Source organism: Homo sapiens, chromosome 5 (genome assembly GCF_000001405.40).
Source record: "Homo sapiens chromosome 5, GRCh38.p14 Primary Assembly".
NCBI classification, from domain to species: domain Eukaryota; kingdom Metazoa; phylum Chordata; class Mammalia; order Primates; family Hominidae; genus Homo; species Homo sapiens.
The window spans coordinates 161871845-161896723 of NC_000005.10; the positions used below are offsets into that span (position 1 = coordinate 161871845).

Consider the following 24879-nt stretch of genomic DNA (forward strand, 5'->3'; position numbering starts at 1 on the left):
CTGGTGCATTATAATACATTTAATAATAATTGTTAGTTACTTGATCAGTAAGGGCTCAGTAATGCCAAACATGTGCCAGAGAACACACCTTCATTCAGCCTTCACCCAGTATTGCTTAAGCCCTTGGAAGGAGACATGTAGTTAAGTTCGTACACGAAACTCCTAAACACATACATTTTATTTTGTAGGTCCTAATAACGATATGTTTAACATTTAAAAAACACAACTGCCTTGTGATGTAAAAGGGCTTAAAGGATTAGGAAAATGTAGTATGATGTTTTCAAGTTAGTTCTCTTTCTGGTTTGGAGTATACTTAGATTAACGGAGAATGTGGTAATCTCTATTTCAAACCATTGAGCTCCAAATTTAGTGCCAGTGTGGCAAATACTGCAAGAAAGATGGATATTACCCTTTTCAATTTTAGGAGCTGGTAAGTCACATTGCTTGTTTTCAGATTAGCAGATGTTTGTCTCTGGGTATTGCCATAAGGAATGCTGTGTTTATTCAAATAAATAGATTCCCTGGCTGTGAATGATGATGAGCTTCAAACATTTCTCATGTGGCTTATACACATGTACAATCACAAACACATACTCACACACACCGACATACTCTGCATTCTTATTTTTGTTCTTTTTCTTTTTGAAAAGGATTCAAATTACCAGTAGAAGCAGTTTCTTTGTTTTCACAATCTTCTTTAATGTGTAGGATAATTGAAAGTCTATATACATTATCTGTGAAAAAAATGTTTATTTCGCCAAAAAAAGATGGAATTTTTACATCCATATTGGAATCACAATTTACTTGGGTGTGGGCATGAGGTTTTCAGAGACAATGAGAGGGCCCCCAAAACACTAGGCTTTATCTTTATGGCTGGAATTGTCTAATTTAAACATTTTTTTCCTGTGCATAATACCCTCTAACATGAGTTTGTTTTAAAATTGTGATATATTCTATTTCTTCTAGTGCTGCTGTGATAGGGTGGAGGTGGGGTGTTACTTTCCTTTTACATATCTGAGCAGATAATTGGAAAAATTTTTCTGACCAAAAAATATGTCAGGCATTTTAGATATTTTTTTTAAAAAATCATTACACCAACCAGTGATTCTCCTGACATCAACATGTACATGCTATCACACGTTTACTTCTAAAAACATCACCTAGCTAACATTATACTTCCAAAGTTGCAAAAATTATGCACTGTCTGCGTTAGATATTTGCATTGCAAAATACAGCACAGTGAACTCTTCGTCATTTTCCAAAATTACCTAGGAATATACAATAGATGTATTTTTCCGTCAAAGCTGGAAGGATGAAAGGTTAAAATTTAAAGGACCTATGACAGTCCTCCGGTTAAATAACCTAATGGCAAGTAAAATCTGGACTCCGGACACATTTTTCCACAATGGAAAGAAGTCAGTGGCCCACAACATGACCATGCCCAACAAACTCCTGCGGATCACAGAGGATGGCACCTTGCTGTACACCATGAGGTAAGGATGGCTGCACTGCCATTCATGAATGTTTCTGTACTTCATTCCCTTCCACTTGTAGGCAATCATCAGGCTGATGAGCCATGGTGGAATATTTGCTTCCTTGTTTTTCAACCTTAACAATCTTAAAAATCTCTCCAACCTGTTCTAATTCCCTCAGTCAAGGATGAAGTATTATTTATGCAAATGTTTATTTGCTTACATCTAGTTTTATTCTTAAATAATTTTCTGTAGCTAGGTGGATTCAATATAAGGAACTTCCTCTCCCTACTATAAAACTCATATATTCCTTCATTCCAGTAAGACCTAAATTTCTAGAAGCCATCTAATGATCTACATCTGAAAACATTCCTACTAAAAATGAAGTAATAAAAAACAAAAAATATGGAAAGTTACAAAATTCATAAAACACAGATTCATGTAGACATAGGTATTTTAAGAAGTATTTGAATTCACAATGGCGTTGATAGCTAGACGAGAATATAGATACTATTAATTTTGCTCAAACTAAAGACTACGTATACATTTCTGTTTTATAAACATTTCCCTCTCTTTAAGATTGCTGTAAAGCTTAGCATCTATTAAGTGTTGAATACCTTATGACTGAATGAAGGAAACATGAATCAAATAAAGTTTTGAATTTTATATAGAAAAAAAGAGATGTTTAAAAGTATTCCTCATTTATGAGAAATTAAGAATTGTCTGGAACTCATTCTTGAGAGCAGCAGTAATTTATTCCCAGATGACTTGTTAGATACGAGTTTTTTACATTTGGTCAATACACAGTAATTCAGATTTTTCAATTATTTCTTTGGTACAAAAAGGTAATAAAGGTAAAATCCTAAATTTATGGATTGTATGCAAGTACAGTAATATTTTGCCTTTGGAGAAAGCTGCCAGAATGCCTAGCTTTTCAAATGCAAACATCCAAAAGAAAAGAAAAGAAAAAATTCTTCAAGAGACACTTTGGATATTGAGCCAACTAATTAAAATGTATTAGGACTTAAAAAAATCTAAAAGATAGAAATAGAGGACCAATGGACACATGTGTTGAGAACTTTCTAGATTATCTAAGCAGGACCTATTCGTAATTGAAATTTGAAATATTCCCCCCTGATGAAACACCATACACTTGGCTTTGAGCCTAAATCCAGTACTCATTCCTCTTAGATGGCAATTTTCTGAGGAGAGACTTGCATATCCTAAGTGGTTTATTGATTAATGGTTTCTGATGTATACAGTGTTCTTCATCTGTATCTTTCATCTCCTAAAATTTTCCTTTGCTAATGTGTTTTTACTTTCTTTAATAATTTAATTTAAGAATGCAATTTAATCATAAATTTATACTTTGTATATTTGCTTTAGTTGGTATTCTAATCATTTAATGATTGACTATAAATCTATCTTACTACGTTTCTTGAGCTACTTAATAATATGGGTAAATATGCTTGCTAAAAATCATATGAAGGACATGAATATCAATTTCCTTATAATTCTACAAACTGAAAGCAAATATATTTCAGTGAACTTCTTTCTTAGCAATCCAAAAAAAAACAAAACAAAACAAGAATAGATTTCACATCCACAGAACATCCCAGGGACTAGAGAGAAGCACAGCAGAGTCCTAGCTTCAATTAGATGGTGGGTTTGTAAATAAAACGAAATGGTTTGCAAGTAGTGAGATCATGTATGGAGATGTTGTATTAATCTTAATCTCACAAAGCCTGAGGACACATCCCCCTTCAGCTTTTCCTACCTTCTTCTATGCATTTGGTGCTATTTTAGAGAAAGAAGCAGAGAGAGATGCACTTAGAACAGGAGAAATTCTCTTCTCTTCCATGCTATCCATGTCTTCCTCTCAAGCAAGGATAAAGTAGTATTTACGCAAGTGTTTATTTGCTTACATCTAGTGTTATTCTCAAACCATTTGCTATAGCTGAGTGGATTAATTAATGGTCGTTTTGGAAAATATTAACAAGGCTTGCCCATTGTACAATATCAGGGGTTGCCTTGTTTCTTAAAGCAAACAAACAAAAGGATAGAATCCACTCATTATTGTAAATATGTATTTTTAGATCATTTGATTATTAACAGCTCAGCATAACCCTGCAATTATGCCTTCTTTGTTAATATATTTGCTACAGTTAATAACATTCCACTTGTACTTATCAAGAAGTATCTAATCTATATGGCTCTTGTTTGTATTCTATGTTTCCCTTAAGGCTGACAGTGAGAGCTGAATGTCCGATGCATTTGGAGGACTTCCCTATGGATGCCCATGCTTGCCCACTAAAATTTGGAAGTTGTGAGTAAATTTATATGGACTTTTCTTGATTGTAAGTCATTAAGCAAGAGATCTCTAGCTATATCTGTGAGAAAAACGCGTAGATAAGGGAATCAAGAAAATTTAAACAGCAATATACCACATGGACTTTCCATAAGTAGTGCTCTGTGACTTCACTTTTTAATGTTGCTTCAAGAGAGAGCTTATTCTTTATCTACTGAACTAGAAAGCATGGATTAAACTAGTTATTGAAATAATTCTATTTATGCTGAATTTGTATTTATAGAAAAAGAAGTGAAGTATGGATGCTTCTACCTCATGGATAATATTTTCCTCTCAATTAATGGAGATCATTGTGTCTATTTTATATCTTTACTGACACTTGTTTGATCTTAAAAATAATTAAATTCGTTTACCAGATTAAAGTGTTGGTAAATGGCAAAGGACAGTAAGTGTTTCTTAATAATGAAGCCTACACCAAACTGATGTTGCAAAAAACACAAATACCCTAATCATAGTCTTAGAAAATTAGCTGATATGTGTGTGTATCTCATGGCATTCATATATATATATATATATTAGTGCTCTTGAAAGTATCCTGGATAAATGCCCTTCATAATAACTTCCTGGGTTTCAGCTGTTTGAAAATATTCAGAAACACCTTGGAGCAGCCAAGAGAAAAATGACTGTGAGAGTCAGGTTCTCCGGTCTTTTCTTTACCCTTCTGCTTTCAACTGGTTTACATGCATGGAGTGAGTGGGAATAATGTATTCTTGGTTTCCTGCAGGGGAGTTATGTACAAGGACTGAGTCAACTCCTGGACTACCTAACCGATTTTCTGTTCTCACTAGACAGGCAGTCTAAATGACTATTTTGGTGAAGATATGATTCATAGAAAAATAACAGTGGTAGTGTAGGAAGACAGAAAGTAAAGAAAATAGCAAAAGGCCTTCGGGCTCCTAGCAGCATCAGTCCTGGAGAGAGAATTTTATTTATAAATCCCATTTTGTACTGAAACTCGAAGATAAACTGCTTCAAAAACTCTAGGTTAAACAGACATTTGGTGATAACTCCCTTCTCCCTGCTTTTTTCCCAATTTAATATACATTCCTTAATATGAACGATTATGTTTTCTCCTGAATAACAGATCCATTTGTAATAATGACAATATGTGCTACATGTTACTTGCATGTCAGATAGTACATTAAATATTTGTATATTTATAAGTTCATCTAAATCACAACCTAATCTTACAGTTAGGAAGATCATACGCCGTAGTTTGCCTGGGACAGTATCGGTTTATGCCTAATATACTGGTATACTTTTTTTAAGAGACAAGGTCTTGCTCTGTTGCCATGGCTGGAGTCCAGTGGCACAATCATGGCTCACTGCAGGCTTGACCCCCTGGGCTCAGGCAATTGTTCTGCTTTAGGCTTTTGAGTACCCAGGACTACATACATGTGCCACCACGCCTGGCTGATTTGTAACTTTTTTGTATGGTTGTGGTATAGACAGGGTCTAGCTATGTTGCCCAGTCTGTCTCACACTCCTGGTCTCAAGTAAACCTTCCACCTTGGCCTCCCTAATTTTTGGGATTACAGGCATAAGCCACAGTGCCCAGCCTGGTATAAATACTAATAATTCCCCCTTTTATCTTAAAAAATCCTAATTTGGAAAATGAACTGCATATTTTTAAAAATTAGTCAGGAATGCTTTCAGCAGTGAGAATAGCTGAAAAAAGGAGAGTTTATCATTTTATATAAGATGTGTGAAAGTGAGTGCTGATAGATTTCTGATTGGTTCAGCATCCTAACAAGGCCACTGTCTTAAGATGTCTTTAGATATTCTTTCTCATCACAAGATGGCTGCTGTAACTCCAGTCAATGCAATTCTGTTTGTGATAGAAGGTAATAGTTGGTAAAAATGAAAGGAGTAATGCCTATACGAAAAAGATAAAAGCTTTCCCTAAAATCCTAGTGGAAATCTACTTACATCTCATTAATCAAATGTCTCACATTGCCAATGATATTTGCAAAGAAGGCTGGAAGTAAATATTTTTAATTGGACACATTGTCAACCTGAAGAATATTAGAGGTATTTTAAGAAGAGGTAAATGTATAGTGAGTAGAAAACAGTGTCTCATATAAGAAAATTGAAGCTAAAGAAAAATAAGTAAGCTGTTTTCCACCTCAGAGCCATATGCTCTTTTCTTTGCTTGGATTACTCTTCCCTTGGTTCTTAGCATGGCTGACTTCTATCTCTCCACATGTCAGCATAAATGTCATCTCCCAGGGCCTTCCCTGATGACCTTATCGAAATTTGCTTACAGTCTCACCAGTCTTGTTGATCACAATGCACATTTATTTTATACCATTTATCACAGCAATGATGATTCATTTTATTTATTGGTTAACTTTTGTATTGCCTGGAGACTGTAACGTCACGAGAGAAGGACATACTTTGTTCAGCTTTTCCTAGCACAAAGGCAAATACACTGTAGGTTCTCAGTAAATATTTATTGAATGGATAAAGGTTACAAGACTCAGGCTTTAAATGCCCCTTCACTGTTTAAGCTTCAGAAAAGAGAGTGTAAGACCTGTGGGGAATGAAACAGAGCAGACTAGACATTGAAGTGCAGGCTTTGACGGTCATGCTTAGCGGAAAAGAACACCATGGCTAATTACCACTGCCTGGCATTGGCACAAGAAGAGGCAGGGGCAGTCCATTTGTTGTCCAGTCATTTCTCTGACCTGGCCTACTTAGCATATTTCAAAGGTGAAGAAACTGAGGCAAGAATGGGCTAAAAATATTTTGACTCATTTTTCGAAGTAAACACCTTGCCGAAATATCAGAGAAAAGAATAGACAAGAGGAGTTTTCAATAATTTAGTGGAACAGTCTGTAATAAATGTTTATGAATATTCTGAAGCAACCTTATCCATATGGTGATAAAATCTAAAGTTGAGAAGCAGTCTTTCTTACCGTTCTCTATTAGATTCTGATTGTTAAGGCTAACTTAAACTTTCTACTGGTTATGGATAAAGCTCTCTTTATAAAGTCAGCTAACCCGAGGGCAATGTGCATGATACAACTGTGATCGTTTCACTGCTTTTGAGAAATATACCAAATAAGGCTTTGTTTCCAAAAGAAGAGATTTGGGTTGCAGATTCTGACATAAAGACCTAGGCAAAAGCTGAATCTATTAAGGCCTTAATATATGATTGTCTTTTGGCTAATTATCAAAAAACAATGCATTGCAAACACACTGAGAGGAATGAGTCAAAATTTGAATGAATTCTGAACAATGTACGACTTTAGAAATCATTTTGTTCATGTGGCTCATACAAATGGAAACACAGAGACTCATAAAAGTGAAATGATAGTGTCAATTAGCAACTCTCCTGATACTAAGTAATATATGTTCCCAGTGTTTTACCACCACAGAGTTCTTTCATAACACCAACCAAAACCTTCTTGTCTTTTTTATTTTATTAATTAATGTTTTTGAGACAGGGTCTCTCTCTGTTGCCCAGGCTGGAGTGCAGTGGCACAATCAGGGCTCACTGCTGGCTCAACCTTTTGGGCTCAAGTGGTCCTCGTACCTCAGCCTCCTGAGTAGCTGGGACTACAGGCACATGCCATCACACCTGGCTAATTTTCAAATAAATTTTTGTAGAGACAGAATTTTGCCATTTTGCCCACACTGGTCTCAAACCCCTGGGCTCTATAGATCTGCCCATGTTGGCCTTAAAAAATCCTGTGACTGCAGAAATAAGCCACCGTGCCCAGCCACCTTGTGGTCTTATTTCTAAAACTTTTTTGGGGGCATTATAATTTATTTGAAATTGTAACTTAAAATTTTTGGCTAAGTAGCTGAAGACTCTTTTTAATCTCACTTTTCTTATGCTGATGTCTCTGGTCAAGTACATTTTCATAGGAACTATTTTCTGGTTACTAAAATTTAAGGAAACAATAGGATATATCATCTTTGCTAAGGCCTTAAGTATATCTGTATTCTCCATCTTAAAATACTAACTTGCATCAGGTGAATCTACCCTTCATTTTGGAAGATTCTCATGGAGAGACATGGATAATGAGTCATCTGCACCTTCACAATGATGTCATGTTTGTAGTAGATGGCCTATACATTTTCATATGCAATGGTGCTTCTATGAAATTGCAAGAAATGAGACACCAAAATTATATAAAATGAAAAGTCAATGGTAACACATTTTTCCCCCTCTACAACTATATTAGCAGCTCCGTAACAACACATGACAAAGTATAAAAAGATAGGGTGCAGACACTTTTGCTAACAGCAGTGCAATATAAAAGCAAGAGTTTTAGTTTGTTGTGAAATGACACAAGATCTAGACTTGGTTTCATCACTAATTGCACAACCACCAAATATCTTTGCTTGGCTTATGCAAACCTATCTAATATACAGTTTTGCCTAGAAAAACACTTACAAAACACAGTAAAGTCAAATGAACGGCATCCTAAGTCTTTATCTTGGTTTTCCCAGTTATTAGTAATGTCTGCTTAAACAAGTCATTTATTTTTTTCCCTCAGTTTACCATCCGTAAAATGCAATTAAACTCTATGACTTTTGAGGCATTTGCAAATTGAACATTCAATCATTCCATGTTACCATAAACTCATTATGTCTTCTTAGGTAAGATGCTTCCATTAAAAAACAATAATTTATCATATTAAAATATTAGTAAATGTGGTTATCTACAAATTGTAAACGATAGGGTCCTTCTCAAACTAGTGTGCTCTGCCTTCTTCTAAGAGATTTGTAAATCACATTTTACATCCCTCCTAATAGACACAGTACTGCTATACACAATGGTGAAATGCTTTCATTTTTAAGACCATGAGGATAACCACAATTAAAAAGGAAAAACAAAGATAAATTCAAAATTATCCATTTCGTACTTTTACATGTCCCATGAACCACTAAATTTTTAGTTCATTCTCTTAAACTTATGGAAAATTTTGTTTTTAAAAACCATCTGATTATAAATTGATGCAGAAGTGATATTGGAACTGGCAGGCTACCCTTATAAAATCAGGGAACACTGGCTACATTTTTCTGCATCACTCACCTCAGTGAAAAGTAATCACATTAGAAGCTTTGTTTTAGGGACTGAAAGGCATGGCTCACATCTTTTTTCAGACAGCCTTATTTTCATGTAAAAAAGCAACTATAGTTTTACACCTCACTATATCTTATCTGGGGAAAATGTGTATTGGACAGAACACAAAAGCCTGGTTATTTAAGTGGGGATTGGGTCAAACAGAGGTGCATTATGACTTTTATGAGCCCTAGGCACTTTTGCCTTTGGAGGCCATTCCTCCAAGAAGAAAATTAAAATTATTTCATGACCAGGTTGCTACAAAGATGAATATAATCCAGATTATATTATATTCACTTTATCTTTGGATTTCAAAAGAAATTAAAATATTTTTGTGGCCTCCTAAAAGTATTGAGGGCCTCAGGCCCTGTGCCTAATGGAGAAGTTGACTGTTGGCCAATGAGTCAAGCTCTTGTCATAGGCCAACATTTACTATGATGCCTCCCCCTCAAAAACACTGGAAACAGCTTGCTTTTTCTAAAGTGATATTTTCTTTAATGTTTAACCTCATTCTGCATCTAAATAGAAGAGAGTACGTACTATCATTCCAACCTATGTGAAGTGGGTGTTATAGGACTAGAAATCAGAAAAGGTATGGAATTCCTTTTCCTTCTCTTTCTCTCTCACTCTATGCAATCTCTCCCTCTAAACTGTGTAAATTATCCATCAGAATTATGACCTAACCTCTTATTAGGAGATGGCCAAGTTCAAAGTGACATGGCAAATAAAAATGATTGAGAAGAGTGATAGAATGTAACTCATCATCATGGAAAATATCTATAAGAAGGATAATCAGTAGAAAAGAGGAGAGTAAACTCAGACTTGCTAATGGACATGCAGCAAAATTTCCAGTGATTTTTACATTTATCATGACCTTCGCATTTAACATGACCTTTTCCTGGCTTAACAATAATTTGGACCAAAGCTACTGCCTCTAACCTCATTTCATCTCTCATATGCTTCACTCTAGTCAAACTGGTCTTCCTCAAACTAGTCAAGCTTTTGCCTGCAATAGAAGAAAACACTTGGGAGGCTGAGACAGGAGGATTACTTGAACCCGGGAGGCGGAAATTGCAGTGAGTTGAGATGGTGCCACTGCACTCCAGCCTGGGTGACAAGAGTGAAACTGCATCAAAAAAAGAAAAAAAAAAAAGAAGAAGAAGAAGTAGAAGGAGAAGGAGAAGGAGAAGGAGGGGCAGGGGGAGGGGGAGGAGGAGGAGGAGGAGAAGGAGAAGGAGAAGGAGAAGAAGAAGAAGACACTTGTTAGTTTGTCTATTGGACAAACTCTTCCCCAAGATTTTCACATGCATCTGCCATGTATTTGTATAAATGTTACCTCCTCAGAGACGACTCTGTCTGAGCCCCTTACCTTACTTAGGATAAGTCTCCATCCCTTCATTCTCTATCCTTTTACTCGGTTGTGTATGACTCTATCACACTTATCTCTACTTGAAATTACATACGTATTTGCTTATATGTTTTTGTCCCCACTGCTACAATGCATATTCCATAAGATAAAGAACATTTGTTCTTATATTCACTACTGTATCCCCAGCACAGTATTTTGTCCTTTGTAGATCCTTATAACCATTTGTTGGAAGAGTGAATAAATGACTAAAAAAAAAAAATCAGAAAACGTGTTTTAGTTTTTGTAAATTAAGGGACATAAGCTCATCTTTCCTAGCCTGCCCTCTGGAACCATGATATAGAAAATATGAAGCTGATGAAAGGTACCAACTAAATAAGAGAATTGAAGTGGTAAAATATATGGATCATTTTCTACTGTTTCCTTTTAGATGCTTATACAAGAGCAGAAGTTGTTTATGAATGGACCAGAGAGCCAGCACGCTCAGTGGTTGTAGCAGAAGATGGATCACGTCTAAACCAGTATGACCTTCTTGGACAAACAGTAGACTCTGGAATTGTCCAGTCAAGTACAGGTAAGTACGATTTTGTTACTTCAGTTATGGAGGAAGAAGAAGAATAATATTTTGTGAGAACTCAATGAATCATTCAGTAACACAAGTCTAGGAGAGAGAACATTTCACTAAATTGGGCATCAGTTGAGCTGGGAACTAATGTAAACTCGGTAGACCTGTGACCTTGGACATGTCATTTAATGCCTCTTGGCCTCTGTTTCTGTTTGTTTGTTTGCAAATTGAGAAACTGGCTATAAGTAATTACTGTAGCACAACAGGTAGCTATGTGAACTCTTAGAGATGAACATCTGGGTTAAATCCTTATTCCCCAACCTTGTCAGTTGTTTGTAGTCCCCTTGCAGGGTGGTTGGAAGAAATACATTAAATTCTTAAAGAGTACTTATCACAATTCCTGACCCATCAAAAGCTTTTCATAAATAACTATTTATATAGTCTAGGCTCCACATATTACCATTAGTTAATGAATTTTGCTAAATTTGTAGCAGTGATTATTACACGCAGGACATCAAAAAGCCAATTCCTTCTACAAATTCGTTTGTATCTCTAACCAAGCATCTTCCGCAGCTAAAGCCAACAGAGTCATAACCACATTATTGATCACTCCATGTGGGAATTAAAAGTAGGTAGCATGCCATCCTTTTTAGTGTAGTAACTGATTTACTAATTCTATACTCAGAACTAGACCTGACACTGTGGAAAAGCTGGACCCACATCTTTAAAGTTGTTTCGAACAATAAGATAAAAGTTTTGTTATTCAAGTGTCCATTTTGTACTATCTGAAATGTGATCATCAGACCAGATAATTATAAATAAAAACTGGACTCAAACAATTAGAAAAATACATGCCCCACAAAGCCCATTATTTACTGAAAGCTTTAACGAGGGTCAAGAATTATTTTTCCAAAATTATGTCTTTCAAAATTTAAGTTGACTTTATTCACTCTTATTTTTTATTTCTAAGGAAATACGATTTAGTAGTAAATAAGAGGAGTGGTGATAAAAAAAACTTCTTCTGATTTCATGCTTTATATTGGGACCCTCACAAGCATAATACATTCCAATAATAGGTCGACCTCTCTTGCTATGATTATTAGACAAGTTCTGACTAACAGGATCTGTCTCTTGCTTGCTTAGAAGCCCTCATTGCTAGCCCAGAAGCTTAAATGTTTATGTGTTTTATTTTTTTTTTAAAAAATGGAAACTGTTTCTCTTTTTTTCTTATTTCAAATCCAAGTGGCATAGTGGAAAGGTCATAGGCTTTGTAGTGAGGGAGATGTGAACTCAAGTTCTGATCTTGTCGCTTAGAAGCTTTGTGACTTTGGGCAAGTCATTTGTTCAGTTGGAAACTCTAGTATTGCCTAAGTAATGATAGTCCTGTATTTTGTATTAAAGATGAAATAATATAAAATATTGCAGAGTGTTATATAATAGGTACTCAAATGGTAAGTAAGAGCTGTTGCTATGGTCCTGAAATACCCCAGAACATGAAAAATGCTCAAGATTTTTCCTTCTTACAACATATTATGTTGGAAAAGATATGAAAGTAAGCTGTGTTTACTTTTTAAAACTTGAATGTCATTATAAGCTGGATATAATGGCAGTCACTACAGATTAAATGATAGACAAGCTCAGATTTTGCTGTCATGGAACTTGAAGTCTAAAAGAAATTGAACACATAAACTGTAATTATCAAAATAGGTAGTTTAAGTGCTGTGATTAACATTTTTTTGTGATGGAAGAGACCACATCTGTCTTCTCTATCCCTATTATTTTCTGTAGTAGTTGAGACATAGGAGGCATTGAACAAATATTCTGAATTAATGAATAAAAAGTAAATCCAGCTTAAGATGATCTAGGAAGGATTGTTGCAGGAATTGATTTTTCATTTTGTTAGTCTGAATATATTGGGGGATAAATAATCACTCTCTAGGCTCCAGGCAGACCAAATAATGCACACATAACTTTTCCTCAAGGAACTCTTCATCTATTTTTGTTAGAAAGGAAGTTGGAGAATGTTGGGAAACAAATCAAATGCAGTAGTATGCAGGCATATATGTATGAAGTCTCAAAGGTTGCTTAGAGGAGGGAATATTCCTGCTCTAATTTTAGCTTTAACAACCTTAGTCATGTTACTATAACCCTCTTATGCCTGAGATCCCATGTGTTCAAAATTAGAGGCTTAGTCAAAATAATGGAGGCCTTCCTCACCTTTGGCTTTCAAGGGATTCAACCTGTCTACATTCTGGATACTCAGAAAAAATACGCAGTCATTTAGTAGAATGAGAGACAGTGGCCCAACCCATTGACACCTATGAGGGTAGACCTCATGGGCTGGGCCCACTAGAAGTCATCATTCTGTGCTAGAGCAGCAAGTTCACCTACATAAAATAAAAGCTTTTTCCTGTCACCACATAGTGAATATTAGGGGGTAAGAAGAACAATGAGCAAATTCTCAAATGGAAGCTCAGTTTGATGTACGTTTCAACTCCACAGTAACGCTGAATTATACTTCCTCTGGGACCACTTTAGCTCACCAAGAGTCCACCTTGATAGATTTCAGTAGAAAGAAACAGAGACCTTTGTGTAAGGTCTGCAATGCTGTATTTTACATCTCTTTGTGGAGCCCTGAAAACATCAAAATAAATGACCTTGAGTACCATTACCTTCCTGTTTCTGTCAGAAGACTAGAGAATGATGGTGAGAGAGAACACACACATTGAGAATGACTAGATAAAAGGCATCTTCTTCTACTTTAAAATTCTCCCTGGAGAGAGAATCATTCAATCCCCTTGGTAGTTTAGAAAGTGCTACTTACCTGCCACCAACACATGGGAAAACATAAACACACAATCCTACTGACCTCTTTGAGTCAAAATACTTTCTAAATCACTTCATTAACATAAGAGGCAAGAAGATGGAAATCCTAGCACAATATTTGAATTTCTAGTTCAGTACACATACATTAGAGGTACAATTCCTTCCTTGGATACTACCATTAAATTTAGGAAAAGAATATTTAGTTACAGCCTTAGTTTTAAGTGTACTTACTCACCTGGCAGAAAAATACTACTGGACAGAGTATATGGCAGAGAAATAGGCAAACGGGAAAGATGATCCAGTTAGTTTTCAAATCCAATATGTCTTTATTATTCATTCATTTATCCACGTAATCCTTAAATCACTTGTTCATTTACTGTGTCTGACACGGTGACTGGGCTTGAAGAAGAGAGATGAAAGGCACAAAACCCCTGCCCTTCAGAAGTTCTTAGTTGAGTGAGATAAATAGCTAACATGCATTGGCACTGTTCTATTCTTCAGATCTAATACTCACAAAAATCCTAGAATTGAGGTAATATTATTATCCCCATTTTATAGATGGGATATATGGGGGCCCAGAGAAGTTTAAACATTATTCCAAGGTCATACAGCTGGGAAGTGGCAGAACTGGGATTTGAACCTGGGTTGTCAACCTGCAGGGTATGTACTCTCAACTACATGTCATACCAATAACAGGCATCAGAGACACATGAGATGTGGAAGCATAGTTGCTAAGAGTATGAACCCTGAAGTTATACTACAAAGATTTCAATGCTGGTTTTGCAACTTATTTACTGTGTGACTTTTGACAAGTGTTTTAATTTTTATGGTTTTTTTTTTTTGTATGTATCTTTTTCATGAGCTATTGTGAGATGGAAATAAGAAAATGCATGTAAACTGCCTAGAAGAGTATCTGGTTTGTAAAATGTATGCAGTAAGTGTCCGATATTACTATTAATAATAAGAGTAGGCCTGGGTGCAGTGAGTCATGCCTGTAATCTCAGCACTTTGGGAGGCTGAGACAAGCAGATCAGATCACTTGAGACCAGGTGTTCCAAACCAGCCTGGGAAATGTGGAGAAACCCCATCTCTACAAAAAATTAAAAAATTAGCTGGCCATGGTGTTGCATGTTTGTAGTCCCAGCCACTTGGGAGGCCAAGATGGGAGGATCACCTGAACCCAGGGAGGTAGAAGCTTCACTGAGTCGAGACTACACCACTGCACTCCAACCTGGGTGACAGAGTGAGACCCTGTCTCAAAATAATAATAATAAAAATAATACTAATAGTAAAGCTAGTGTAAGGGAACTACATGATGGCATAAAGGAGGAAGGGGGTCATTTCTACTTGATGTGTCAAGGGTGGCATAACCCCTTGTCTCTTCCCACCCTCACCACATTATGCTTTCTAAGTAAGTCTTCAAGGACAGCCCATGCAAAAATTACTACAGTGACTTAAGGCCATGAAATATAACTTATAAAGAAAAACAAAATAATGAAATTGATCACGAAGCATAACAATATCAGTGTCCAGAAAACATTAATAATGTAATGCCATGCAATGTTTTAAAAACACACAGTGATGACTGCAAGTTCTCCATATTTACCTAAATAAATTTGATTATAAGAAAATTTGATAAGTTTGGTGAAAAAGAAAGTTTCTTCTGAATGACTATTGTTAATCCTTAAAAGAGATGACTAAGAAACATTGTAGTATTCTCTTTTTTGGACACAGAGTCGTCTCTGCATGAGTTGATGTAATCATGACCCAGAAGGGTCAAGATAATAAGAAAAGCAACAGTCTTCTTTGACTATGGAGTAACATTGGTGATCATCATTCATCCAAAGAGCCTAGGGGCTTCCATTTATGAAGCCTAGTACATGGTCTCCAGAGAAATAATTATAACTATAGAATGTAAGTCCTGGGAAAAAAAAAAGACTTCTGTGGTCATTTGGTCAAACCATTTATATTTCAAATGAAGACATGGTCCCAGAGAGGCTAAATGATCTAGAACTATAATGAGTGTCCCCTTATCTCTATTTAGAATCTCTGAAGCAATTAAAAAACATAACCACCACTTTCTCAATAACATTTTTGATAGAAAATTCCTTTTGCAATATTAGTATCCATAGAAAACACCAAGTTTAGAATACTTGGAAGGAAAATGACAGCTTCACAAGGAATCAATGTTCAATACAATTTTGTTGAATGACCAAGTGGTTGATCTCTGACTTAGAGAGAGAATGCATGTCTGTGTTTTTAATCTTCATACTGTAAATGTCCATAGAAATAGAGTTTTTAAAAAGTGCTTTCACTCAGATTATGTAATTTTATCCTCACATCCTCCTAGGAGACAGTTAAATTAAAAACTATTATATTAATTGGACAAATCGGGAAACTGTAGCCAAATGAACCTATGCAAGGTATTTACCTCCAAGTAACTAATATTTGAGAAGGCAAAGATTGAAAGCCAGGTCTAAACAAATCTTTAATGCTGTTTTGAAAAATTATATTAGTTGCTTTTCTTCCACTCTCCTTAATTTTGTTTTGCAATATATCAGAAATATTGTCACATCTAATTTGCAAGCTTCCTTCAGGGTTAAATAAACTGCAAGAATATTTGAATGACAATTCCCCTAGACTGTTGAAGGAGGGAAAATAATTTGACATGCTTTGTGCATAAGCACTTGATGTCTAGACGTATTATTTCAATCCAATTTAGGTGACTTGGTTTTTTGTTTTTGTTGTGTTTTTCTTTCATTTTAAAGCTATTACAACATGATTCTGATGTTGCTTCCCTTTTCTTCCTTATTTGAAAGTTTGTGCCAACACTCTTAAAATTGTATTTAATTTAGGAAAAGGTTTCAAAACATTGGAATTTCTTCTGTTAGGGAAAATCTGTTAGGGAAAAAGTTGTTTATAAAACAAATATAATGTCAAATAATAGCTCTTCAGATCTCCAAAAATTATATTCTTTTCAGGATCTTTGCAAAAATGTCATGTTGAGAACAACAAAAGATAATGGAATGTATACAGACACTCATTTTTCTGACATTATATACAGATGAATTTTTTTCTTTGAGCTGGTGACATTTTGCAGGCTGCAGTTGAATGAATTGTTAGGAATAATAATGCATGCCCCTGAGATGGTGAAGTGTAGCATGGGTATGTCCACATGAGACTATATTTTAGTAGTGTTTTGGGAAAATTGTTTTTCTACATTTTTCTTAAATTTGGATCACTTTCTTCTTTTCAAATGACCTTAAAGATATCACTAGAGGAACACACAGAAAATAATAAGAAATTAATCTGGTAACATTCCATTTGTCCTTTAAAAGAAAGATTCTTATGAATTTTGTTTTGATTGAGTGACCGTGAGCCTCAGTGCATCCATTTTCACTATATGAAGGTATTAAATACTGAGGATATGGCCGGTCATGCTACATAACCAAATAACTATTCTTCTTTTAATTAACTTTCAGTTTGGTGGGAGGAATATATGTATGTAGTTAAATAACTAAAATGCAAAGTATGATATATTATAAATATATACAAGAGATATAAAGTTGAACACAGTAAGTGTTTAGTAAAGGGCAGGTGCTATTATCAATAACAGTTAATAATGAAAGCAGGCATAAGTGCGTAGATAATTTCCTGCTACAGAAAGCAGGATGTGTTATTCTACCAACACTTCTACCAGTTCTGATTGAGGAGAAGTGTGAAGAAAATGGAGAAACAAATTAAATTTATTTTAACATTATAATGTGGTTACATAGTATCATCTTAATTAGAGCCATTCTTCTTTATTATCCCCATATTGTGCTTCTGACTATTTTGTAGACAAGAATACTAAGGGTAAGAGAGTTTAAGTGACTTATCAAAAGCTACACGGCAAGAAAATAGCAGATCTGGGTTTTGAAGTCAAATTCATTTGCTTCCAAATATTAATACATTTTCTTCCATAGGACAATAATTTCTATTCCACTGAGGACCTGGTACTTGGGCTGGAACCAACCTATAGATGAGCAAAATATTCAGCTGCAGAAGATAGGTAGAGTTTTGTAGGCCAATATATTGAGATGTTGAAATATTCGAAGAGACAAGAGAATTCAGTGCATATTAGAACTATGCTATGCATACTCTTAAATACAGATTAGGAAGTTTGCTTGTTACTTTGTAGAGCTTGAGTCACTTTATATTGTCACACAAGAGAGGGGCAGCTGTTTGCTACTGGCCTCTAGTAAGTAGAGTCCAGGAATGCTGCTAAACATTCTGCAATATATAGGACAGCCACCTTCAATAAATGATTATCTGTTCAAAAATGTCAATAGTGCTGAGGTTGAGAAAGCCTAATGCTGCTAATCAGTCTCCATTAAGATATTTTAAGTTAAAAAAAAAGAGTGGCAGAATCGCACATGTGAAAGATCACTCTACATCAAAATTTAGGAAAAATTGGAGTTAAGATGTGACTACAGCCTATATTAACCCTATATTTTGAGTGAATAAGGCTAAACAATCCTAAGATTTTTAACTGAGAAAGTATAAGGCAAAAAGAGAAACAATAAGACTCTCCTGCAATTTGGGTTGTGTGTCTACTGCTTTATACCTCTAACTGAAGTCAGAATTTGAAGTGTTTAAGGACCTTGGAGAGCACCTAACTAGACCACTGTTTCCCAGATCAATCTAGGAATTGGGACAAACTCAAAATCTGGTTATTAATACAGATTTTCCTGACCTTTCAAAGAATGGTTTGTAAATCTAGTTGGGATTTGAAGAACTGCATTCTTCAAAAGTTTCCCAGGTGATCCTGGAAAATAAATTTTGAGAAACAAAAGATTCTAGCCCACTCTCCTTATTTTGTAGATCAGGCCATGCTAAATTACTCTTCTGATGTCAAAGAGATATTTAATGCAGTTTTGGAGCTAAAATTAAACTGTCCTGATGTACACGCCAAAGCTTCTTCAGTAGGTATTGTGGATATGCTCTGTAATGGACACACTGGAGATCTGATCTGTTTCTGACCCATTGGTCTATGTCACAGGGTTTAGCATATTGCCTTCTCAGTCAATTTAAGGATTGGAAAGCCAATCCTTAAATATAAACTCAGATTTGTTCCTCCAATATGTGATGTATTTGAATTAAGAGGTAAGAATATCTTTAAAGACTCTGGCACCTCAGTCTCATCCTCAGAGTCATTTTACTGTGTGTTAAGTATGTCTCTTTTATTTTCTGGATAAAAACTTTTCCCTCCAAGAACTGGATGTCACATGGAGAAAGGATGTGTCTAATTCCCAGACCTTTGGTACTCATAGTAAACCTCAGAGATTACCTTTTTCTAAAGTCAAATTGCTCATCTTTCTTGTGTGTTTTACTTCTCAGGAGAATATGTTGTTATGACCACTCATTTCCACTTGAAGAGAAAGATTGGCTACTTTGTTATTCAAACATACCTGCCATGCATAATGACAGTGATTCTCTCACAAGTCTCCTTCTGGCTCAACAGAGAGTCTGTACCAGCAAGAACTGTCTTTGGTAAGTCCCAATCAAGATACATACGCAAGGAAGGGTATGGAAGACAAGTTATGTCATATCTGTGACACTGCAAAGAGAAATAAAAAAAAATATACACTCAAATATTAAGTTCATATAACAGAAAGTTTCAAGGAATTGCCACTCTCATTATGGTATATATTTTTTAAAACTATTTAACTAGCAAGCTGTTTTAGTATTTGTGAATAGATGGCATTAATGAATATTTGATTTGATATTTTGAGGTAAAAATGAAGTGAAGCAGGCATAAAATGCATAATATTAAAAACTCATAAATAAAAACTTAATATTTAAACAATATATTTAGAATATATAACATGAATCACTGAGTTGTTCGAGAAGCTTAGAAAATATCAGCAGAGCTACTTATTTACATTTATAAAAAGCAGAGCTTCTTTAAGTAGGGAGAGCCAATTAATGACCACCATATCACTACAGGAATAAGTCACTTTACCTGATGTGTGCACTTCTGTAGAGTTACATGCATTCATTTTTTCTATTACAATATTTTTAATGACCTACATGCTTCAAGTTAAGAAATCTAATTGAGTATTGTTTAAAGGGTAAACAACCTTTTACAAATAGGAAAACTTATTTCCTCATGTATTATTTTAGAGGGTGCATTTGATATAAAAAGGTATTTCCTGCCTATATCCCCGTATACTATTTCAACTGTATTTTTCAGGCTGATAAAAATGAAAGATTCCAATACAATATCTTCTAGACACAGAAAGCAGTAGTGAACTGAACACAAATCACCACTCTCGTTATGAAAATTGCATTCTGAAGCTTAAAATTGAGTAATCATAAAATCAAATGCTTTTATACTAGGCGCTATTCTATACAATTAGCCTGTATTACTTAACTATAAAACAAATTCTATCTACTATTATTATTTCCATTTTTAAAAGTGAAATCTAAGGAACAACAGATTAAGTAATCTGCCCATAGTTAGAAGCTATTAGATGGAGCCAGGACGAAGACCCTAGCATTTAGCTCTGGAGTCTGTTCGCCTAATGACAATGCTGTATCGTCACCTCTGAGCTATCCTGCTGCAATGAAAATAATTGAAATGGGAGTATTGTGGTTAACTTCATTTGGAAATCACCACTACGTATTTATTGGTGAGAGGTGCAATTATCAAGGTTCATTCCACAAATATCAACTAGGCACCTGCTGTTTTTAAGAGCTGTGCTAAAGGATAAAAGCCTTAAGAAGCTTATAGTCTAAACTGAGGATTATTCACCTGAAGAGATTCCTATGGTATCATTTTTCAATAATATGTAGTGTATGAAAAATCAGTTATCTCAGAAAAAAAGCAAGACTCTGCTACAAGTACCAGAAACGTGTATTTTCTTCTGAACTTGGCAATATGCTTCTAGATTGGCAAACACCAAATCATTGCTCCGACAATTGCCTAAGCATATAGCTAAATTAATATTCAGAATAATTGCAGCTGCAGAACAAAAGAGCAGTTCATTGCATACTCATTCTTTCCCATTACCACGTGTCGATATTAATTAGCAATGAACTCACTAAAGACGAAGTCTTGTTAAGATGCTTATATCTGTATGAGTATGCCTTTTTCTCACTAGGAAATTAAAACAAACAAACAAACAAACAAACAAACAAAAACAAACAAAAAACACAGGACAGGCCGGGCACGGGGCCCACGTCTGTAATCCCAGCACTTTGGGAGGCCGAGGCGGGTGGATCACGAGGTCAGGAGATCGAGACCATCCTGGCCAACATGGTGAAACCCCGTCTCTACTAAAAATACAAAAAATTAGCTGGGTGTAGTGGTGGGTGCCTGTAGTCTCAGCTACTCGGGAGGCTGAGGCAGGAGAATGGCTTGAACCCTGGAGGTGCAGCTAGCAGTGAGCCAAGATCGTGCCACTGCACTCCAGCCTGGAGCAACAGAGCGAGACTCCTTCTCAAAAAAATAATAATAATAATAATAATAATAATAATAATAATAATAAAATAAACACAGGACATATTTATGTTTTATTTTATTTTTGTAGTATGAGTACAACACTATATTGGAAAAGGTTCCTTTAAAAGGTGATTTACCCCTTCCCACACCAACGAATTCTACTCTTTTGATTTGAAAATTATTTACAGCATTTCAGATGGTGTATGTCAAAAAACATTGCTCTTAACTTTTTCAGCAATCTTATATCTCAACAGACTCATGGCCTTTGATGAACATAACTATATGTCTGTAAACTTAGTTGTGACAAGTATTTTTGTGTTTCAAGTTTTATGTTTCTAATATTTTAAGTTCACTAGAATCACAAATACAATTTTCTAGACTTTTAACCTTTTAACATTTATTTTGTACACATGTTTCTATGCTTTTTAGTTTGAACTCAGCACATTTTTTTTTCTGAGCTCTGTGAGAAGCCTAAAAGGATCATGTAGATTCAAAAAGAAAAAAACAAAAGAACCAAACAAACAAACAAAAGTTGTACTTTATAACCATTTATTAAAAGACATCCAGAATGAAAGAAGGTTGCAGTCTATCTTGTGCCTTAGAAGACCATATTCTTGGTTTTCCATGCTGTCTCTCATCTGGAGGCAGTGTGGTCACTTAATTTTGCTGCCAAATACATCCAAGTTTGAGATTCAGTCTCGCCACCTACCAGCTGCATGGCATTGGCAAATTTACTTCCTCTTATGGAGCTTCAGTTGTCTGTTAAATGAAAGTACAAGGAAAGTAAAGTAATGCTGTTTTTTAAAAATTTAGCAAATAAAAAAAATATACATTGTCAGGTTCCATACTTGTAACTTAAAAGCTGTTCAACAAATCTGTGTTCTTTTCTCTTTTCCTATAACAGGAATTGTATTTTCCTATGGCACAAATTGTATCTTCATGTTAATCTTCTCAACTGCTCTTAATTTATGGACACATTTGGTTTAAAAATACCCGTTACCACATTACTTCTGAGAACTGACTACATAAACCAAGATTTTTTTAAAAAAATTGAATTTATTGTAGTAGGGATTTATCAAAAAGGACTAAAGTTGTCAATTATAATAGTCATTAGTTTTGCCCTTATTATCAGGCTAAGAGCTAAACACTTCATTGCATTACCTTACTTAATATTCATGATAGCCTTCTGAGTTAAACTTATTAAATCAACTTACAAGAAAAAAATTTTATAAACCCCAGAAGCTCGTGATTTTAAGTCAATTTTCTCAACGTCATTCAGCAGTTATAGAACAGGGATTTGAAACTCGGTTGCCCTGGACTTTCAATTACCCTAATATTTGCTCAAGTTAATACTGACATGTAAATTCAGGAGCCTGAATTTACAAGTCATTGCATTTAATCCTCATGATAGTCTTTTGAGTGAGTGAGCAAAAATGTCCTTCTCCTAGAATTTCAACAATGGTATAGACAGTGGAGAGAATGAAAAACAAGTCATCCCTTTTACAGATATGGGCACAGAGTTCCTACAGGTTAAATCACTTAGCAGAGGTCATAGAGCTAATAAGTGGTAGGATTGAGACTAGTCACTGGAAGAAGTCAGAATTATTTCTACAATATGTAGCCTGATCCACCCTGAATGGGTAACTGTGACTGTTTTTTTAACATTTTTATATGGTTTAAAGGGAACCTGACAGCATTATACTTTTGTACTGAGTATAGTGCATTACAAATAGTAGGCTGATAGTATTTGGTAAATGAACATTAGAGGGTATCATCTTTCTCATACTAACATATAATTGTGTAAGTAAACTAAAATGGGCTAACTTGAAAACTTCTTTTGAATAGAGGGCATTTTAATCACTAGGGATGGATTTGCAGAGTAGGAAAGATGAGGCAGTCTTATCAGAAAGAAAAAAGATTCTAACATTCGAATCAGAAAAACTGGTGTTCAGATGTTGGTACTGCTACTTCTTAGCTGTGTATTCTCTAGCAAGTTACATAAAATGTATTATTATATATATGTGTATATATATATATGTGAGTGTGTGTCTATATGTATATGAGACACACATGTTTCTATCTATATATGTCAGATTTAGGAATTTCTTTAAAAATGTAGCTATTTTTGAATCAGGAAAGATAGTGTAAAACCATGAGTCAATAAAGTGGCAATTTTCCCCGAATAGTTCAATTATCTATAAATTATCAAAAAGTCATTCACTTTCTGGTTTACATATTTGGGGTACATAGAATATTAAACAGAGCTGAGTATCCAGAAGTTACCTGTGGATCACAGGCAAGTGAAGATCTGTGATTTCTATATCAAGAACTAGGTACAGTGAGGAATGTTATTTCTTGTTTTACCCAGGACACCCATGTTCAAAGCGCCAATTTAAAGGAGCTTACTATCTTCTGAAGAGCACCTCAATAGCAGAGCAATTTATTCCTACAAGATATCCCCCTCAATGCTGCCATTCCATGAATCACAGACTACACTGGGGTTAAATTAAGACTCATCAATTCTAAACCAAAATAAGATGGTCTAGAAACCACATTCTGTCATGATACTGTTGATTTCCTTTTGTTCAAGTAGGCTGTCCCATCATGATGAAATTTCACAGTATGAACTGGCATCATGTATGTTTTTTTTTTTCTTTACAGGAGTAACAACTGTGCTCACCATGACAACATTGAGCATCAGTGCCAGAAACTCCCTCCCTAAGGTGGCTTATGCAACAGCTATGGATTGGTTTATTGCCGTGTGCTATGCCTTTGTGTTCTCAGCTCTGATTGAGTTTGCCACAGTAAACTATTTCACTAAGAGAGGTTATGCATGGGATGGCAAAAGTGTGGTTCCAGAAAAGGTAAATGCTTTAATGGTCACTGTAGTACATCAATATTATGTCTCTTTAAACCTATGAAATGAGATGTTTTGGCCTGTGGTATTGGATGGAGTATGCAGAATAATAAGGATTCTTTTTTTCTTATGTCGTAAACAATTAAGTGCCATGATAATTTTGTTATTGATAAAGGGAGAGGTCATTTAGGTGAATAGATGTACAAAGTGGAGGAGATAAAGGAGAGTCAGGAAGGCAAACATTTCTAGTCAAATAGGCTTTCCTGTGGTTTCTATTGATTTGAGAACAGTTTTAATGAACCTGATATTAGGAGCAAATAAACTTAGTCAAATCCTTTATTTACCAAGTGCGTTATAATTTTATAACTTGAAAGTTATATTCTTTTGGTTGTTTTCTGAGCCTAATCATTTGGTCATAAATGTATAACCATAATGCCTCAATTAAATTAAGTTTGCCACATGAACCATCCCTAGTTCTCTGCAAAGTCAAGGGCAGGCACATTTTCTCTTTCCAAAATAGACATATGCTTTAGGGATCATAACACACAGAAATTACCAAGAAATGCCTCATGGTAGAAAATGTTCAAGTTAAGAATACTGCTGCTTCTCTCAATTAGAACCTATTACACAGTATGGATTTTATGTCACAGCTTGGGAGGATAGCTGTGTTTGTGGGGTTTGAAGAACAAGCGTGACAAAATGCAAGTAAGCTTTGGGATGCTGTGATGAAGAGCAAAGACAGAGACAAAGAGATTTTAAGATGTTTAGAAATAATCTAGAAGGAGTCACTTGACATAAGCTTTTCTGAAACTTTATTCTATAGAATATTAGTTTCTTAAGATACTCTCTGAAAATTTAGTTC

At 35.2% G+C, this 24879-nt stretch overlaps 1 protein-coding gene across 5 annotated transcripts in view; it reads left to right on the forward strand.

Annotated features, from left to right (window-relative positions):
* The window catches only part of GABRA1 (gamma-aminobutyric acid type A receptor subunit alpha1), a 52781-nt gene that overhangs the window by 24654 nt on the left and 3248 nt on the right, over positions 1 to 24879 (forward strand). For all 5 annotated transcript variants that reach the window (NM_000806.5, NM_001127643.2, NM_001127644.2 and 2 more), the window contains 5 exons: positions 1273 to 1493; positions 3716 to 3798; positions 10714 to 10857; positions 19054 to 19206; positions 23822 to 24024. In NM_000806.5, the coding sequence (NP_000797.2) occupies positions 1273 to 1493; positions 3716 to 3798; positions 10714 to 10857; positions 19054 to 19206; positions 23822 to 24024 (804 nt within the window). The remainder of the gene's footprint in view (positions 1 to 1272; positions 1494 to 3715; positions 3799 to 10713; positions 10858 to 19053; positions 19207 to 23821; positions 24025 to 24879) is intronic.